Here is a 20,367-nt window from a genome sequence, read left to right on the forward strand (position 1 = left end):
TTGTAAAGACACTAATCTATGACTCATTGGCATGGCTGAAAGAGAAGGAGAGAGAGGAAGCAACATGGAAAACATGTCTGAGGATATAGTCCATGAAATTTCCCCAATCTCATTACAGAGGTTGATGGAAAAATTCAAGAAATTCAGAGAACCTCTACAACCATCCCCAAGATACACAGCCCATCAGACTTTCCAAGGTCAACACGAAAGGAAAAATCTCACAGGCAGCTATAACAGCTGCATCAGGTGAAAAGCTGACCTCTTTCCGGCAAAAACCTTATAAGCCAGAAAGTGGGGCCTGTTGTCAGCATCCTTAAAGAAATTTCAGCCAAGAACTTCATACCACTCCAATCTAAGCCTCATCAGTGACAGAGAAATACAATCTTTTCCAGACAAACACTAAAGAAATTCGTTACCGCTAGACCAGACTTACAAGAGATTCTTAAGGAGTTCTAAATATGGAAAAGAAAGAACAATACCCACTACCACAAAAACACACCTAAGTACATAGCCCACAGACCCTATTACACAACTACACAATCGAGAGTACAAAGCAAACAGCTAAAAACATCATGGCGGAATCAAAATCTCACATATAAATATTAATACTGAATTCAATGGTCTAAATGCCTCACTTAAAAGGCACAGAGTGGCAAGTTGAATTAAAATAAAACAAACCAATAAGAATCAACAGTCTGCTATATTCAAAAGACATATCTCACATGTAATGGCACCCACAGGCTCTGAGTAAAGAGATGGACAAAGATCTGTCATGCAAATAAAATGCAAAAAGCAAGGGGTTGTTATTCTTAGATAAAACAGACTTTAAACCAACAACAGCCAAAAAAGGATGAAGAAGGGCATTACACAATGATAAAGGACTCACTTCGCCAAGAAGACATCCCTAACCTAAATATATACCCACCCAACACTGGAGCACCCACATTCAAAAACAACCAAGTACTTCCAGACCTACCAAAAGACTCAGTCACACAATAACAGTGGGGATCTTCAACATCTCATTGATAGTGTTAAGGCAAATCATTGAGACAAAAAACTAACAAAGAAATTCTGGGCTTAAATTTAACACTTGACTAATTGGACCTAACAGACATCTACAGAATACTCCACCAAACAACTACAGAATACACCTTTTTCTCATCTGCACAAAGAACATACTCCAAGATCAACAACATGTTTGCCCATAAAGCAAGTCATGATACATTTTTAAAAAATGAAATCACACAACACCATTCTCTTGGACCACAGTGCAATAAAAATAGAAATGAATACCAAGAAGATCTCTGAAAACCACACAATTACATGGAAATCAAACAACTGGCTCCTAAATGACTTTGGGAAAAGAAAGAATTTAAGGCAGAAATCAAACAATGATTTGTAATAAGCAAAAAGAAACATCATACCAAAACTTCTGGGATACAGCAAAAGCAGCATAAGAGGAAAGCTTATAGTGCAAAACAAATATGTTGAAAAGTTAGACAGATCTGTAATTAACAATCTGACACTGTGCCGAGAGGAACTAAAAAACAAGGACAAAATAACCCCAAAGCTGGCAACAGAAAAGAAATAACTAAAATTAGAGCATAACTGAGAAAACTTGAGGCCCAAAAATCCATACAAAGGATCAGTGAAACCAAAAGTTGGCTTTTTGAAGGGATAAAAATACTGATAGGCTACTAGCTAGATAAATAAATAAATAAATAAATAACAGAGAACATCTAAATAAGCACAATCAGAAACAACAAAGATGACATTACAACCAATCCCATAGTAATACAAAAGATCCTCAGAGACTACAATGAACACCACTGTATACACACAAACTAGAATATCTAGGAGAAATGGATAAATCCTTGGAAACCAACAAAGATTGAACCACGAGGAAACTAAAATCATGAACAGACAAATAACAAGCTCTGAAATTGAATCAGTAATAAAAAACCTACTAGCCAAAAACAGATTCAGATCAGACTGACTCATAGTCAATTTCTACCAGACATACAAAGAAGAGCTGTTAACAAACCTAATGAAACTATTCCAAAATATTGAGGAGATACTTCTCCCTAACTCATTGTATGATGCCAGCATCATCTTGATACTAAAAGCCAGCAAAGACACAATGAATAAAGAAAACTACAGCCCAATATTCCCAATGAATGTAGACACCAAAGTCCTCAATAAAATATCAGCAAACAAAATCCAGCAACACATCAAAAACTTACTTCACCACAATCAAGTCAGCTTTATTTTTGTGATGCAATTGGTTCAAAGTACACAAATCAATAAATGTGTTTCACCACATAAACAAAATGAAAACGAAAAACCATATGATCAACTCAAAAGATGCAAAAAAGCTTTCAATAACGTCCATCATCCCTTCATGAAAAAAACACCCAACAAATTAGGCATCAAAGAAACAGACCTCAAAATAATAAAGGCCACTCTATGACAAACCCACAGCTGAAACCATACAGAATGGGCAAAAGCTGGAAGTGGGGGCTAAGTGCAGTGGCTCATGCTTGTAACCCCAGCATGCTGGGAGGCAAAGACAGGAGAATCACTTGAGGCCAGGAGTCTGAGACCAGGCTGGGCAACACAGTGAGACCTTGTCTCTGTAAAGTAGTAAAGAAAAAAATTAAAGAAAAAAGAACAAAAACAGTTGGAAGCATTCCCCTTGCCAACTGGAACAAGACAAAGATGCCCACTCTCACCGTATGTATTCAACATAGTACTGGAACTCCTAGCCAGAGCAATCAGGAAAAAGAAAGAAAGAAAAGCCATCCAAAAAGGAAAAGAAGCCAAACTATCTCTCTTTGCTGATGATATGATTCTGTACCTAAAAAACTCTAAAGAGTTTGCCAATTTATCCTGGAACTGATAAATGACTTCAGTCAGGACACAAAAATCAATGTAAAAATATCCATAGCATTTCTATATACCAATAAAGTTCAAGCTGAGAGACAAATCAAGAATGTAATCCAATTTATAATAGCCACACACAAAAAAGCAAAATACTTAGGAATGCATCTAACTACAGAGATGAAAGGTGGTTACAAGGAGAACTACAAAACACTGCTGAAAAAAAATCATGACACCAAATAGATGACACCAAAAAAATGGCAAAACATTCCATGCTCATGAATTGGAAAAATCAATCGCATTAAAATGGCCATACTCCAGAGTTTGCCACATATGGGTGGTCCGTCTGTTCCTGTCCCCTGTGAGATCCAGCACTGAGGCACAAAGGACAGGAGAGGGTGGGGAGGGGTGGCAGCGTGAGTCTCACTGGGTGTGAGCTGGCCAGCCCCCTGGCTCAGTGCTCCCTCCTCCACCTCCTTTGAACGGGGGACATACCATGTGGCTAAGAAGGGCAACTCAGCATCTGCCGCTCAGGCTAGGTGGACAGTGAGGAAGGGGACATGGGAGGTCTGAGGCTTCAAGGCTAGTGTCTCCACAGGCGCTGGCAGTGATTTCTTTTTTAAGCTGCTCTCCCTCCCTTCCCTCCGCCTGCCTCCATCCTAATTGAAGCCATCGCCTCTTCAGTTACACTGCTTCCTAAAATAGTGTTCTGATCACGCCCTGGGTGCTCACTGAAAATGCTTCAGGGGCTCCCTGCCATCTATTGGAAAAAGGCAGAAATCCTTAGGCTGGCGTGCCAGGGTCCAATCAGAAAAGCGAAACCCACCTGGGATGTTTCCGCAGAGGGAACTTCGTGTAGGGCATTGTTATGGGCGTGGGAAGACTGAAAGGGCAAAGAGAGACCGCTGGGACAGAGAGTGGCAGAAGCAGCTTCCACCCCTGCAGCCAGAGGGACAGAAGGAAGGCAGGTTTGGAGGAGGGCCCGGGTCTCTGATGGGGAAGAAGGGCCGCTGCTGGTAAGTGGTGGGAGAAACAGCCTTGGGGATGGCAGGTAAACCTGTCTCCTGCCTCCCACCTTCCCTTCTCCATCTAGTGTCCCCTTGTGGGGAAATTTAACAGGGAACCCAGAGACGAAAGAGATGGGGTTTGCAGAATCCCTGCACCAGAGAGCAAAGTGGTTTGAAGCTGAGCGACATTTGCTTCCTAATGGGCACAGGTGGCACTCTAGGTTTCCGTGTCTGGCCCCAAACTCCTGGCTACACTCTGACCAGCCAGCATGTCACCTCCTGCCAAGCTCAGTTGTTCTGGAGGTCCCTGTCGTCAGATCTTTGCCCTTCATCACCCGTCAAATTCAGGACTTCGTTGAAATGCTACTTCCCTGATACCTTCTCGTACTTCCATTCTTAAACCTTTGTTGCTGTTAAGTGTTGAGATGAAACATGTTTGCTTTGTATTCTAGAAGTTTCTGTGATTGACCATACCTGAGCGCAGAGATTAACTGGGGTTTGTTCCAGAAACAGCATTAATCACAGTGCCCGGCACATAGAAGGGTCCAGAACTTGGAGCAAGTAACTGAACTCAGGCAGTTCCCACGCAGGCCACAGAGTTGGACAAAAACAGCTTGACCCTGGGGCTTGCACTCAAAATGAGCCTTACCCCTTTAAGAGAGGGCAGGTCTTTTCCCTCTCCGGCTCACCCCACCCCTCCTACACAGTAACTGAAACCTGATCTAATCCCTTTGCACGCGGGTAATTTATTGGTCTGTTGAGCTTTTCTTGGTGGCAAATTGCATTGTCTTTATTCCTGGGTTCAGGCTCTGCAGCGGCTCACTGCATTCCTAGGACTCCTTTCTAAGGGTCGATCCTTCACACCTCCTCGTGCACTGCAAAGTAAGTCTTATTGGGCTTCTTTGTTATGCAAACAGGGCGGTAATAATCAGGCTATTATTCTGAAAGATTGGGCTTGATTAACAGTTCAAAGGAGGTCTCTGAAAGCAGCTAGTGCCTCATTGGTGCATAAATATTTTCATCCTGCCAGCGTTGGTGCAGCTGGTGCTCCAAGCGCCCTCCCCTATCTTTCTGATTCTCAGAGGTGCTAGGTTGCTATTAAAAGGAAAAGAACTAAGTCAAAAAAAAAAAAAAAAAAAAAAAAAGGCCATACTGCCCAAAGCAATCTACAGATTCAATACCATTCCTATCAAACTACTAACGTCATTTTTCACAGCATTAGAAAAAACTATTCTAAAATTTCATATGGAACCAGAAAAGAGCCCAAACACCCAGAGCCATCCTAAGCAAAGAGAACCAAGCCTGATGCATCACATTACCCAACTTCAAACTATACTACAGTAAACAAATGCTACACTAAACAAATCAGCACGGTACTGGCACAAAAACAGACACATAGACCAATGGAACAGAACAGAGAGCCCAGAAATAAAGCCACATGCCTACAACCACTGGGTCTTTGACAAAGCCGACACAAATATGCAATGGGGAAAGGACTCCCTATTCAATAAATGGTGCTGGGATGACTGGTTATCCATACACAGAAGAATGAAACTTGACCCCTAGCTATAACAACATACAAAAATTAATGAAAGCTGAATTACATTCTTAAAAGTAAGACCTCTAACTATAAAAATCCTACAAGAAAACCTAAGAAATGCACTATTAGAAATCAGCCTCTGAAAGTAATTTATGAATAAGCCCTCAAAAGCAATTGCAACAAAAGTCAAAATGAAAAATTGGGACCTAGTTAAACAAAGGAGCTTCTGCATAGGAAAAGGAACCATTCAAGAGACTAAATAGGCAACCTAAACAATGAAAGAATGTATTTACAAGCTATGCATTGAACAAAGTTCTACTATCCAGAACCTATAAGGAACTTAAATCAACAAACAAGAATTTAAAAAAATATATAAAAGCGGGCAAAATACATTAACAGACACTTCTCAAAAAAAGACATAAAAGTGGAGAGCAAACATATGAAAAAATGCTCATCATCACTGATCATCAGAGAAAAGCAAATCAAAGCCACAATGACATACCATCTCACACCAGACATAATGGCTATTACTAAAAAGTCAAAAAATAAGCAACAACAACCCAGATTTTGGCAGAGCTGCTACAGCGAAAAGGGAATTCTAATACACTATTGGAGAAAATGGTAAATTCGTTCAGCCACTGTGGAAAGCAGTTTGGAGGTTTCTCTCACGGAACTAAAAGTAGAACTGCCATTCAACCCAGCAATCCCATTAGTTGGTTAAATATCCACTTCCCACCACCAAAAAATCATTCTACCAAAAAGACACATGCACCCAATGTTCACTGCAGCACTATTCACAATAGCAAAGATATGGACTAAAACCAGAAGCTCATCAATGATGCACTGGATTAAGAAAATGCAGCACATATACAATATGGAATACTATGCAACTATAAAAAGAACAAAATACTGCCCTTTGCAGCAACATCGATGCAGCTGGAGGCCATTATCCTAAGCAAACTGATGCAGAAACAGAAAACCAAATACTACATGTTCTCACTTGTAAGTGGGAGCTAAACACTGGGTACACATGGACATAAAGATGGGAGCAATAGACAGTGGGGACTATAAGAAGGGGAACTGGGTTGGACAACGGTTGAAAAATGACATGCCAGGTACTATGCTCATTACCTGGGTGCCAGGTTCAACTGCACCCTAAACCTAAGCATTATGCAATATACCTGTGTAACAAACCTGCACATGTACTCCCTGAATCTGAAAGTTAAGAAAGAGAAAGAATAAGATAAAAATAAAATGCCCTTTTTAACTTGCAATAAAAAAACACCAATAACATTCTTCACAGAAATGGAAAAAACAATCCTAAAATTCATATGGAACTGCAAAAAAGCTAGACTATACAAGCCAAGCCTGAGGGAAAAGAACAGAGCTGGAGGCATCACTCCACCTGACTTCAAAATATATTACAAGGTTACAGTAACCAAAAGAGCAAGGTCTTGGTATAAAAATAGAAAATTAAACCAATGGAACAGAATAGAGAACGCAGAAATAAATCCACATATTTACAGACACCTGATTTTCAACAAAAGTATCAAAAACATACATTGGGGAAAGAACCCTCTCTTCAACAAATGGGGCTGGGAAAAGTGGGTATCTGTAAAAAGAAGAATGAAACCAGGTCCCTATCTTTCACCATATACAAAAATCAACTCAAAATAGATTAAAGACTTAAACATGAGATCCAAAATTATAAAACTACTACAAGAAAATATATGGAAAATGCTTCAGGACATTGGTCAAGGCAAAGATTTTATAGCTAAGTTATCACGGGCATATGCAAAAAAAAGCACAGGTATAAAAACAAAAATACATAAGTAAAGCTATATTAAAATTAGGTTTCTTCACAGCAAAGGAAACAATCAACAAAGTGAAGCAAACAACCAACAATTGTAGACTGGGAGAAAATATTTACAAATCTATTCATCTGAGAAAGGTCTAATATCTAGAATATGCCAGGAACTCAAACAACTCAACAGTAAAAATTGTTAATAATCCCCCCTGAAATGTGGACAAAGAATTTAAATAGACATTTCTAAAAAGAAGACATACGAATGTCCACAAATGTATGGAAAAGTACTCAACATCACTAACAGGAAAATGAAAACAAAATCCTAAATAAGATATCGTCTCACCACAGAATGGCTACCATCAAAAAAATCAAAAAACAAAAAACAAAAAAACCAGAAGTAAAAAATCCTGGCGAGGTTGGAAAGAAAAAGAAAACTCTTATGCACTCGTGGAGGGAATGTAAACTAGTAAAACCATGGAAGTTTCTTAAAAAGCTAAAAATAGCTCTCCGCCAGATCGCCGCCGCGCCGCCATCTTGGACACCAGCCGTGTGCAGCCTATCAAGCTGGCCAGGGTCACCAAGGTCCTGGGCAGGACCGGCTCTCAGGGACAGTGCACGCAGGTGCGCGTGGAATTCATGGACGACACGAGCCGATCCATCATCCGCAATGTAAAAGGCCCCGTGCGCGAGGGCGACGTGCTCACCCTTTTGGAGTCAGAGCGAGAAGCCCGGAGGTTGCGCTGAGCTTGGCTGCTCGCTGGGTCTTGGATGTGGGGTTCGACCACTTGGCCGATGGGAATGGTCTGTCACAGTCTGCTCCTTTTTTTTGGTCCGCCACACGGAATTGAGATGCTCCTTTAAATAAAGCGTTTGTGTTTCAAGTTAAAAAAAAAAAAAAAAGCTAAAAATAGAAGTGTCATATGATCCAACAATCCCACTACTAAGTATTTATCCAAAAGAAAGAAAATCAGCATATCAAAGGGATACCAGTATTCCCATGTTGATTGCAGCACTATTCACAACAACCAAGATACAGAATCAACCTAAATGTTCATCAACAGATCAATGTGGTTGATGAGTAAAGAAAATGTGGTATATGTCCACAGTGGAATACTATTCAGCCATAAAAAAAGAATAAAATCATGTCATTTACAGCATGGATGAGGACATTAAGTGACACTAAGTGAAATAATTCAAGCACAGAAAAATAACTACTGTATGTTTTCACTCATGTGGGAGCTAAAATTTAAAAAAACGTTCACGGAAGTAGAGAGTAGAACTGTGGGTATTAGAGGCTGAGACTGAGAAAGGTAAAGGGGAGTAGAAGATGGGGAGAGGCTGGTTAATGGATACAAGATTACAGTTACATAGGAGGAATGAATTCTAGTGTTCTGTTGCATTGTAGGGTGAATATGGTTAACTAATATTTTTTTTTTTTTTGAGACGGAGTCTTGCTCTGTCACCCAGGCTTGGCGTGCAGTGGTGCAATCTCAGCTCACTGCAATCTCTGCCTCGGGGGTTCAAGCCATTCTCCTGCCTCAGCCTCCCAAACAGCTGGGATTACAGGTGTGTGCCACTACACCTGGTTTGGCTAGCTAATATTTAAAAAGCTAGAGGAGAGGATTTTGAAAGTTCACAACACAAATGGTAAATGTTTGAGGTGATGGAATATATTAATTAGCCTGATTTGACCATTATACATTGTTTACACATATCAAAATATCACTGTGTATACCATAAATATGTACAATTATACAGGTCCACAAAAAATCAAAAGAAGCCAGGTGTGGTGTCACATTCCTGTGGTCTCAGCTACTTGGAAGGCAGAGGCAGGAAGAATTCTTGAGCCATGGAGGTCAAGGCCGGCCTGGGTAACATAATAAGACACCATGTCTAAAAAAAAAATACATCAATAAAAATAAAAGCAAAATCATTCATCCTATATACAGACTATGGGTGAAACTTAGTGACTTGCTTCTAATGAACAGAAAGTGTTAAAAGTGATAACCATGTGGCTTCCAACATTAAGTTAGAAGAGGCTCTCTACCGCAGACTGCTCACCCATGGACCCCAGCCCCCATGCTGTGAGGAAGCTTAGGCCACAAAGAGAGCCTAGGAGTTCCAATGTAGATATCTGGGCAAGCTGCCCCAGCCAAGGTTTTCCCAAGCCACAGATTGGTGAACTAAACGAATGTTGTTCTTAGCCACTCAACTTTGGGTAATTTGTTAGGAAAAAATAACCAGAAAAATAAATTTAAACAAGGAGACAACAAGAAATAGAATAACATACCAGTAGAAATTAGTCTCCTTTAAAGTAAGATCTAAAAAATGTTGAGGTTAATTTATTAATGACAAACAACTCTAATGGGAAGCAGCAGACAACCAGGAGAAGGATGTAAGAACTACTGCAGAGGAAGTTTAGAAAAAGTTCCTTTCGATTACAAATTCTGATGACTAAGCCAGTGAGGCTTTTAGAATTTGTCCCCCGAGTTATGAAATAAGGAAGATGAAGAAGGAAGGAGATATATAATTTGAAGTATAAAGTTGAAAAAACCAGAAATATTTGATTAATTACCAAAAATCAGACATTGTACCTGATTTCAATGAACTGAAATTCTAAAAGTGATAAGCAGCTTTGGATATTTATTAATCAATCTAGGATTCAATCTTCATTTCCATTTCCTCAGTGAGAAAATTAACAAAATATTATGGAATCAGTTTTAACAATCTCAGAAGTAAAAATGTAGTGTCCTTTGAGTGTTAAGCTATTAAATGCAATTTCCCCTTTACCTTACTTCAAGCTCATTTGTATGGAGAAGGGAAGAGCATCTCATCTTTATGTTGTATCAAAATGCTTCTCCATATCATACAAATTGGCTCTGAAATTTTGAAATTCATACAACTAATTCAACCATTTGTTTCTGATAAATGCCTGGACATGACCTGATTTCCAGTTGCTGCACTCCTGGAAGTTGTTCTTTGAATGGGTTGAAGTATTTATTCAATGAATTATGTATTGAACTATAAAAGCATAGCTATGCATCTCTATTTAAGCAAAAAGAGGTAAATGCAGGGAACTCTGGTTTCTGAGAATGTAGTATCTGTGCCAAGAAGAGGATTCAGCTCCGGGAGTGTACAAGAGAACCAGGTGCTGGGTCAAAAGAGTATCTAACTGTAAACTGCAACATGATGAATTAGCTCAATTTCCAATGAGGAAAGAGGACAGCCTAGACTTAATCTTGCCCTTCATAGATAGTTAAAATCTACACATGACTCTATGACTTACAATGAGTTAATAAAAACATAATGCAGTAAATAGTAGGAGTCAGCATATCCTGTGACCAAGATTTGATGGAAATGGGAATGAAGAGAGAGGCACTGGGTGAGAGACAAAAGGTATGACTGGAGAAAAAAAATTAATGGGATCTGTCTTCATAAGCCTGACTCTCATCATGTCATGGAGTCAGCAAGGCATAAGCTGGCCATACACTCCTTCAAGAAGCAAAAAGTGAAATTAAAGACATTCTACTACTTGAATTTCTATTCTTACATAAGACAACTGGTAATAAGCAACAGGACTGAAAATGAATTTTCCTAAAATGTGATTTGCTACTGGCATAAGGATAGACATAGCTCAATATATTAGAACTGAGAATCCAAAAACAAACACACACTTTTATGGTCAACTGATTTTCAACAAGGGTGTAAAAAAAATTAAATGAGAAATGAATAGATTTTTCAACAAATGGTTCTGGGAAAACGGTATATCCACATGCAAAAGAATAAAGGTGGACTTCACCAAATGTCATACCTAAAAGTAACAAAATAGAACCGCTAAATGTAAGAACTAAAACTATAAAATTCCTAGAAGAAAACATAGCCATAAATCTTTGTGACCGCAAAACAAACAAAAAAAAATTAACTGGACTTCATCAAAATGTGAAACTTCTGTGCTTGAACAGAGACCATCAAGAAAGTGAAAAGGAGGCTGGGCATGGTGGCTTACACCTATAATCCCAACACTTGGGAGGCCGAGGTGGGAGGATTGCTTGAGCTCAGGAGTTCAAAACCAGCCTGGACAACATAGTGAGACCTTCTCTCTACAATTTAAAATTATATAAATTTTAAAAACATAATAAATCATAAAAAAGAAAATAAAAAGGAAAGCCATTGAAAATATTTGGAAACATATCTGATAAGGGACTTACACCTAGGGTATATAAAGAACTCTTAAAATTCAGAAATTTAGGACAACCCAATTTTAATGTGGGCAAAAGATTTGAACAGATATTTCTCCAAAGAAGATATACAAGTGGCTCATAAGCACATAAAAAGAGGCTTAAAGTCATTCATCATTAGGGAAATGTGAATCAAAACCACAATGAGGTACCACTTCATACCTCTAGGTTGGAATCCTTTTTCAATCAAAAATATGAAAAATGTTGGCAAGGATGTGGAGAAATTAGAACCCTCATACAATGCTGATGGGAACGTAAAATGGTGCAACCACTTTGGAAAGCAGACTGGCAGTTCCTCAAAAGGTTAAGCATAGTGTTACCATATGACCCAGAAATTCAACTCATATGTATATACCCAAGAGAAAGGAATACATATACAAACACAAAAACTTGTAAATAAAAGTTCACAGCAGCATGATTAATAATAGCCAAAACATGGAAACAACCCAAAGGTCCATCAACTGATGAATGGCTAAATAAATTAGTGGTATGTCCATACAGTGGAAAATTACTCAGCAATAAGATGAAATTAAATACTGATACATGTTACAACACAATGAACCTTAAAAATGTTATGCTAAGTAGAAGAAGCCAGTCACAAAAGACCACCACACATTGTGTGATCCAATTGATACGTGGTGTCCAGAATGGGCTGATCTATGGAAACAAAATAGATTGCTGATTCTTGTCAGGGTCATGAAAATGTCCTACAATTGATGATGGTGATGGTTATGCAACTCTGTGAATATATTAAGAGACCATGAATTGTACACGTTCAATGGGTAAACTGTATGGTATGAGAATTCTCTCTCAGTAAACTTGTTTTTAAAAATTCAGTGGTAGAATCTAGATATATCTCTTAATTCTCTACTTTGGATGTACATACTGTACATGATTTGTAAAAAAGCACAATATATTTAAAATGAAAGGAAAATAAAGGAAGTAACTAACATTTCAAGTAGTTTGTAAATTAAAACATTTGCATTTTGGAGAACAGTACTATGGCCTTTCTGTACCAGTTATCCTGAAATTCATGAAATAAATATACACAGATTCTGTACCCATTCACAAAAGTAAAGATAAGAAATAAGACAATTTTCTGGAACATTCTATTAAACATTATCCTATAATTTAATCTGGCTTGCCTCACCATGGCAATAGAGAAATCACTAAAAAAATACTACTTCACAGGAAAAAAAAAAGCCTCTCAACTTCTGTGAGGAATACTGAATAATTCCCAATTTTCCTAAGGATCTTTGGAAATGATCCTTATTTTTAAAATGTATGTACTTATGAGGAGAAAAGGACAGAATGAAAGCCAGAGGTTAAGAAACAAGTGTATTATAAAGATAATTAAATTGTAATAAAATGAATTATAATAAAAATACAAAAGAAAGCTATCCACTGCAATCAGTATCCTAAAACATCTGACATTATTTCACCACCTATAGATTAACTGTTGACATGTTATGTTTCATACAAACTTCATTTCTGATTTGACCCAATTTCTTCTTTGAATCCTGTGTCTCATCTAAATTAATGTGACAACGTGAGGTAGCCTCTGACGTAGGTTGTTGTTTTAGGAGATCGGTCCATTCTTGTTGGAATTCTCTCATAACTACCTGTGAAGGTATTTTTTGTTACTGATTTATAAATCACCTTATTATTAAATTATGGTAGTAAGATTTAACTCTAACTCATATACTTTGAAAAACATCAACACATATATGATTCGCCTTCTTTTCCTCATGTGCACACATTCTTGTTTATTACTGAATTTAGTTAAGGACAAAGAAGGTGTTATCTTCCTGCCAAATCGGTTTTCTGTTAACTTAGGCAATAGATTCAGCCCACTACTCACTCTTCCCTGAAACATCTGCAGTGCTTAACAACCTACTGAAGTCTCAAAAAGAATTTGATACGTGGGTGGGGCTGCTGGTGGTACATCCCACACTGGTAAAATGTTTTCCCTGTTTTTTATTAGAAGCTCAAATCAACCTCAGAGTTCCTTGCATATTCAATTGCCTGCTCAGATCCTTCTAAAAGATTCCTATCTCACAATACAAGTAAAATTCCAATGGCCTTTGAGGCCCTAGGTAACCTGGCCTCTACCTCCCTCCTGATCTCAGCTCCTACAACTGTCTCACCGATTCAGTCCATTCCTGCTATATGTGAATCCTGCCACTTCTGATTAGTTTGAAAATGGGACTCAATGCCAAACAAATAAATCACAGATAGCCACAGTTACCTTTGTACTATCAAAGTTATATCCGAATGATAGGCAGTGAGCCTTGAAATGAAAATTATGAGCAAATTCTTTGTAAAAACATTCAAAGTAAATTATAAATACCAGTGGTAAGATTAAATGTAACATGGCTTTGCTGAAATTCACATCTGTCCCAAATTATGATTTAATAAAAAGTAAATGCCTTTAGGCCGGGCACAGTGGCTCACGCCTCTAATCCCAGCACTTTGGGAGGCCAAGGCGGGCGGATCACCTGAGGTCAGGAGTTCGAGACCAGCCTTGCCAACATGGCAAAACTCCGTCTCTACTAAAAATACAAAACTTACAGAGCAAGATTCCATCTCAAAAAAAAAAAAAAAAAAAAGTAAATGCCTTTAAAGAATTGAGAGGTCATAACAAGTAATTTGAGACTGAAATCGTCTCAGATTTAAGACAAATTGATATGAATAAAAATAAAATTATACCAACTTAAATACATTACAAAATTACTGAAGGAAAAGTATTATGAGATACAGCAGTATACTTCAGTTCACCTGGGAAATCTGGAATTAACGGTCAAAGCAACCCTCCCCACTGAATCTTAATTTCAAAATACTCATGTCAGGTATGAGCATTTCTGTTTATCTGCTTCATCATGGTATTAAAACATGGCCACATAAAGGCATTGCAATGATCATTTCAGCAGCATAAGACTACATCATGAGTATTAGTCTGTACCTATTAACACTGTAACTGAACTTGAAATTTCATAGGTGACACAATTTCTTTATGCAAAGTAAAGCATCTTTCAGGTTTAACTTCTTTTTCACTGGTACATTTCTAGGCTGATACAGCAAATACATTTATGATCTATACATTTTATATTCAACTAGATACAACATTTAGCCATAACCAAATATTACTTTACATTTTCTTTCAGGAAGGTTGAAAAATATTTTATCTTTCTTAATACTTACTTTTCTTCCTGCTTTCTCTTTCTCACATTGATCCATTCTTTCTTTTAAATGATTATATTCATCCATCAGCTCCTTGTTCTTCTCTTGTAGTGAAAGAATCTGCTTTTCACTCTCAGCTTGAAGATTTTTGGCAGCAGAATGAAACTGGTCTTGGATAGTACTGCTTGTCTTTTCTTGACTGTTAGCTTTCTTGTGAGCATCATCCAGTTGCTGTCGAAGCAACGTATTTTCACTTTGTAGTTGAGATAATCTCTCCTCTACAGATTCCTGCTTGGCAATGTATTTCTTCAGTTTGCTTTGTTCAATTTGGTACATTTGTTCAGTTTCTTTCTTCTGACACTGTGTTTGGCTGAGGTCTCTTTGCACACGTTCCAAAATCAAACTCTCTCTTCCAAGAGCATCTCTTGTGTTATGGAGCTGAATTTGTAGGCTGTTAATTTTACTTTCAGCATTAGAAAGTTTTTCAGAAAGAATCTCATTCTTAGCTTGTAGGCCAGACATATCAACCTTCATTTTGTCATGTAAACGAACCCACTCTTGTCTTGTTCTCTGGAAATCAAGTTTTAGGTCTCTTGCTGTCTGACTTTGATCACAGTCACGTACAGCAGCAGCCAGTCTACAACGGTATGATTCCATTTCTATTTCTAGTCTTTCTTGGTTCTGTTTCCCATTCTCCAGTTCAGAATTGAGTATTTTGTTCTCAGCTGTCAGATTGTTCAGCTGTCCACTGTACTGGAGTATTGTTTCTGTTAATGTTTCCTCATTTAGTTTTATAATTTTTTGAAGGTTATCATTCTTTTCTTTCACAGCCTCAATGTCCTCAAAATATTTCTTTTCCTTTTGCTTGTTCTGATTTTTTATTGTATCTATTTCCAGTCTCAGCAAGGCAATTTCTTCCTGCAACATGCAATTTTCATGAAAGAGATGCTTTTCTTTCTGATGCCTATGAGAAATCTAAGTGAGAAAGGAAACATTCAGTAGCACTCAATAAAATGACAGATTATGATTTTCTCTGAAATTAAATAACCTATACATGTATACAATGAAAAGATTGCCATAAGTGGATATCCAACTGGAAAAAAATATTCTATCGAAACTTCAAACCTCATAGAGCATAAATTCCCAAAACTTCATAAGTTTATTTGAAGACAATGAATCCATGAATGTAGAACATAAATAACTAGAGAAATTTTAAGCATCTCAGAATTGGAAAAGACGGTCTCCAAATTACAACAAACTCAAAGGCATTAAAGACTAATAAATTTGACTACATTAAAAAATTGGCTTTACACTCTGACATCTAACCTATACACCACCCTATAGTAAAAGCTGTAGCTTTGCATATATCTGGACAGAGGAAATGTTCCAACGTTCTTGAAGTTCTTTTTTTCCTGAGAATATTCTATAGCTATTTATTTTTCTAACATTTTTATCATCAGTTATATAAGAATTACATTTATTCATAAATGCTAAATCTAAGCATTATATTAGGCTTTTTTTTTTTTTTTCGAGATAGGGTCTCCACTCCATCACTCAGGTTAGAGGGCAGTGACGCAATCAAGACTCACTGTAGCCTTGGCCTCCTGGGCTCAGGTGATCCTCCCACTTCAGCCTCCTGGGTAGCTGAACTAGAGGCACACACCCCCACACGCAGCTAAATTTATTTGTACTTTTTGTAGAGATGGGGTTTCGCCATGCTGCCCAGGCTGGTCTGGAACTCCTGGGCTCAAGTGATCCACCCACCTCGGCCTCCCAAAGTGCTGGGATTACAGGCGTGAGCCGCTGCACCTGGCCTTGTACCAAGCACTTGTACATGTATCACTGAACTCATTTATATCACAATTCTGAAAGGAGAGGTCAAAAAATATGCAAGTTGCAGGATTTTCCCTAGGTCCCCTTACTTTACTTCTAGTGCTCTTCCACCAAACCACAATTACTTCTGTGTTGTGTATATATAAATATAAAAGAGGCTTATTTCAAAACACCAGTGGTAAAAAAAGAAGTTACAGAGCTTTTCTTAGAAAATCATGAGATTATCTGTTATTACAATAACTTAAGTTTCCTCTTTATAATGTCTGAAACAGAAATAAGCATGAAACAGGGTGAAATACACTGAACTATTTTTCTTTTCTTTTTTTTTTTTTTTTTTTGAGACGGAGTCTCACACTGTTACCCAGGCTGGAGGGCAGTGGCCCAATTTTGGCTGCCTGCAAGCTCCGCCACCCAGGGTTCACGCCATTCTCCTGCCTCAGCCTCCCGAGTAGCTGGGACTACAGGTTCCCGCCACCACGCCTGGCTAATTTTTTTTGTATTTTTAGTAGAGATGGGGTTTCACCGCGTTAGCCAGGATGGTCTTGATCTCCTGACCTCGTGATCCACCCGCCTCAGTCTCCCACACACTGAACTATTTTTCTAAGAAAAAACACTTACCAATAAATTATCACCAAGTTTATATTATGGCATATCATTGTTTTCAAAGCTCTTTGCACTGAAATGAGACGCTACTTGGAGCAAACTGTTACTCTCCTCAAAAGTAAGGGAAACGGCATCTGAAGTACGGCCTCTGAACTGGCTATACATTTCATCCTTACTGCAAGTGGAAATAATAATCTAACCTCTCCATTAATATATTAGGAAAATGAAATAATGTCTGAAAACTAGAACGTCTGTTGTTAGTAGCAAGGATTTTGAGATTGTGGAAAGATCATTAATTCTATGAAAAATAACAAATGTTTCTCCTTTGGATAAGGCCATTGTGAATGTCACTACTTGACTCTTGCAAACAAATGGAGTTGAATTAAGAACATGACTTTATTCAATGAGCCAAAAATGCCAGAACCACCATCACCACCCCCAAATGTATATGTGTGTGTGTGTGTGTGTGTGTGTGTGTGTGTGTGTGTAGTTAAAAAATCCATTGTACTTTCCAAGTTGCACAGAGTTGTTTCTTAAAAATATATTCACATACAAAAATATATTTGAAAATGACTAAAGAAAATACCTCAGAATTCATTTTCTTTTGAGCCATTTCTAGTTCCTTTTGTTTACTTGTCAGAATCTGATCTTGTAATATTCTGGCATCCTGTTCTTCAGAAAGTTGCTTCTGGGCATCGTTTCTCTCCTGCACAACCTAGAGATAACATGGAGGTTTTGGTCTAATAGCACTGAAAAAGAAAATCTAAAAGGTTAAGAGCAGAGCCTCTCTTATAAAACGGTTAAAAAGAAGTAGCCTGTTAAAACACAAGAACTTTTATCCCTCAAGAATCACTCAAATCTTAATTGCATACATGACAGCTCAATCTGTCAAAGAGGAAAAACAGTTCTTAACTACAGGAAGATACAGCATTGTGAAATAAAATTTCTTTCAAAACATTTAACTAGTGTCCTTATAGTTTCAAAGCTATTTAGCCTGTATTTTAACATAAAAAATGTGTAAATGAACAGCTATATTAGTGATTAAACTCAACTTATCCTCCACTCTAAAAACACAGACTGAGCATCTATTAGATGACAAGGTTTACAGTAAATAATTTTATCTATAAATGTCATAGTTCATTCTTAAGAGGAAATAACAGTTTTGGTTTATTTTAAACCTAAATGATATACATGAAGGCAAAAAATTATAAGTAATACCGATGAAACATAAAGTTAGAAAAATGAAGTTTACACCAAAGATTAATTTACCAGATCCAAGTTATTTCTTACTGTCCTCAATTCCTTAACAAGTCTTCTCAGATTCCATTTAAGTTGTTGCTTTGTTTCAACCACTTTCCCACACTCCTCTTCTTTTATTCTTAACTGTTCACTATCTTTATTATACAACATATCGGCATTTCTTTTCTCCCATTTTCTTGTTTTAAGGCAAGTCTGCAGTTAAACATGGATTACATTAAAATGTGTTTTGTTAAAAAATAAAAAAGTTTATTCTGTGATCTGGCTCTTCCCATGTGGGTTTATTATCCTCATAAAAACTCCTATGCTCTTGTTTCCTTTCTAGTTCTCATGTTTTTAATTTCTCACTTTGATCTCTTCCAAGGGACATATATATTTGAGAGGTAGTGAGGAAAGAAATATTCCATTAACTGGTAAGTTTCTGTTACTAGTAACCCTGGTAAATATTATGGAAAAGCATATTTGAAATTTTTCAGTAAAGTTACAAGTTGAAAATTACTTCTTTTTCACGTTATGCAAGTTGAAAATTAATTAGATCATTTAGAGTTAATTTAAAAGAAGTTACTGTTTACAAACAAGTTTAGAAATTCACTAGAAATGCATTTTCATCTTCATGAAATAGTGTATGTGTAGTCATAAAAATGATTTACAGTGTAAGATAACACCTTCAGATGTCATTCACACACCATGTATCTGCAGATTACTACAATCCAAGACTAGGCTAAGCTGTCTATAACTGTTACCCCATCCTTTTTATGTTTCTCTTCTGGGTAACACTTTCAACTTATCTTCTTGATTCTTAAGTATTTCATCACCAATTTTAAAATCCCTTTTTGGAACAAGACAGGATCTAATATTTAATTTAAAAGTAAAGGATAATATGTGTTTCAACAATGAGTTTGGAATTAATTTTATCTGCATATGAGAGATATGTAATAAAATAATCATCAATTACTGTCCATTTTACTTAGTTCGTGCATATTTAGAATAAAACTGGGAAGTCCTAGCCAGAGCAATCAGGTAAGAGAAATAAAGGGCATCCAAATTGGAAAAGACAAAGTCAAACTATCTCTGTTTTAGCTTAGAAAACCCTAAAGACTCCTAGATTTAATCAATGAAATCAGTAAAAGTCTCATGTTACAAAATCAATGTACACAAATCAGGAGCACTAGTAAACATCAAGAATGACCAAGGTGAGAATCTAATCAAGAACCTAATCCCTTTTACAACAGCTGCAACAACAACAACAACAACAAAAACCTAGGAATATACTTAACCAAGGAGGTGAAAGATCTCTAAAAGGAGAATTAGAAAGCACTGCTGAAGGAAATCATAGATGACACAAACAAATGGAAATATGCCCTATGTTCATAGATTAGAAGAATCAATATAGTGAAAATGATCATATTAACCAAAGCAATCTACAGATTCCATGCAATTCCTATTAACATACCACTGTCATTCTTCACAGAATTAGAGAAAGTACCCCTAAAATTCACAGGGAATCAAAAACGAGCCTGAATAGCCAAAGCAATCCCAAGCAAAAAGAACGAAGCCAGAGACATCACATTACCAGATCTAAAACCATATGACAAGGCTAAAGTAACCAAAACAGCATGGTACTTGTATAAAAGTACATACGTAGACCAATGGAACAGAATAGAGAACCTAGAAATAAAGCCAAATATGTATAACCAACTGACCTTTCACAAAGCGTACAAAGACATAAACTGGGCAAAGAACACCCTATTCAATAAATGGTGTTGGGAAAATTGAATAGCCACATGTAGAAGAATGAAACTGGATCCCTATCTCTCACCATATATAAAAATTAACTCAAGATGGATTAGGCCTAACATGTGGCTCACATCTGTAATCCCGGTACTTTGGGAGGCCAAGGCAGGAGAATGACTTGAGCCCAGAAGTTTGAGACCAGCCTGGGCAACATAATGAGACCTCATCTCTACCAAAAAAAAAAAAAAATGTACATATATATATATATATATATATATATATATATAT

General features: G+C 37.3%; 2 pseudogenes across 1 annotated transcript in view, besides 1 other annotated feature; one reads left to right on the top strand and one right to left on the bottom strand.

Moving 5' to 3' along the window:
- The window catches only part of CCDC144BP (coiled-coil domain containing 144B, pseudogene), an 87,818-nt pseudogene that overhangs the window by 27,184 nt on the left and 40,267 nt on the right, over positions 1-20,367 (bottom strand). The window contains exons 10-12 of the transcript NR_036647.1: positions 18,358-18,540; positions 17,675-17,803; positions 14,674-15,627 (exon numbers count right to left, since the gene is read on the bottom strand). The product of NR_036647.1 is annotated as a coiled-coil domain containing 144B, pseudogene (transcript). The remainder of the gene's footprint in view (positions 1-14,673; positions 15,628-17,674; positions 17,804-18,357; positions 18,541-20,367) is intronic.
- Positions 4,303-5,036: an enhancer, noted in NCBI's record as "OCT4-NANOG-H3K27ac-H3K4me1 hESC enhancer chr17:18472600-18473333 (GRCh37/hg19 assembly coordinates)". NCBI's record gives its function as "activates a minimal SCP1, AML or CMV promoter by ChIP-STARR-seq in naive and primed H9 embryonic stem cells {active_cell/tissue: H9 hESC(naive and primed)}" and the evidence as "EXISTENCE:reporter gene assay evidence [ECO:0000049][PMID:30033119]".
- Positions 7,738-8,120, top strand: RPS28P9 (ribosomal protein S28 pseudogene 9; annotated as a pseudogene).

The sequence above is a fragment of the Homo sapiens genome, chromosome 17, assembly GCF_000001405.40.
Source record: "Homo sapiens chromosome 17, GRCh38.p14 Primary Assembly".
Classification (NCBI taxonomy): domain Eukaryota; kingdom Metazoa; phylum Chordata; class Mammalia; order Primates; family Hominidae; genus Homo; species Homo sapiens.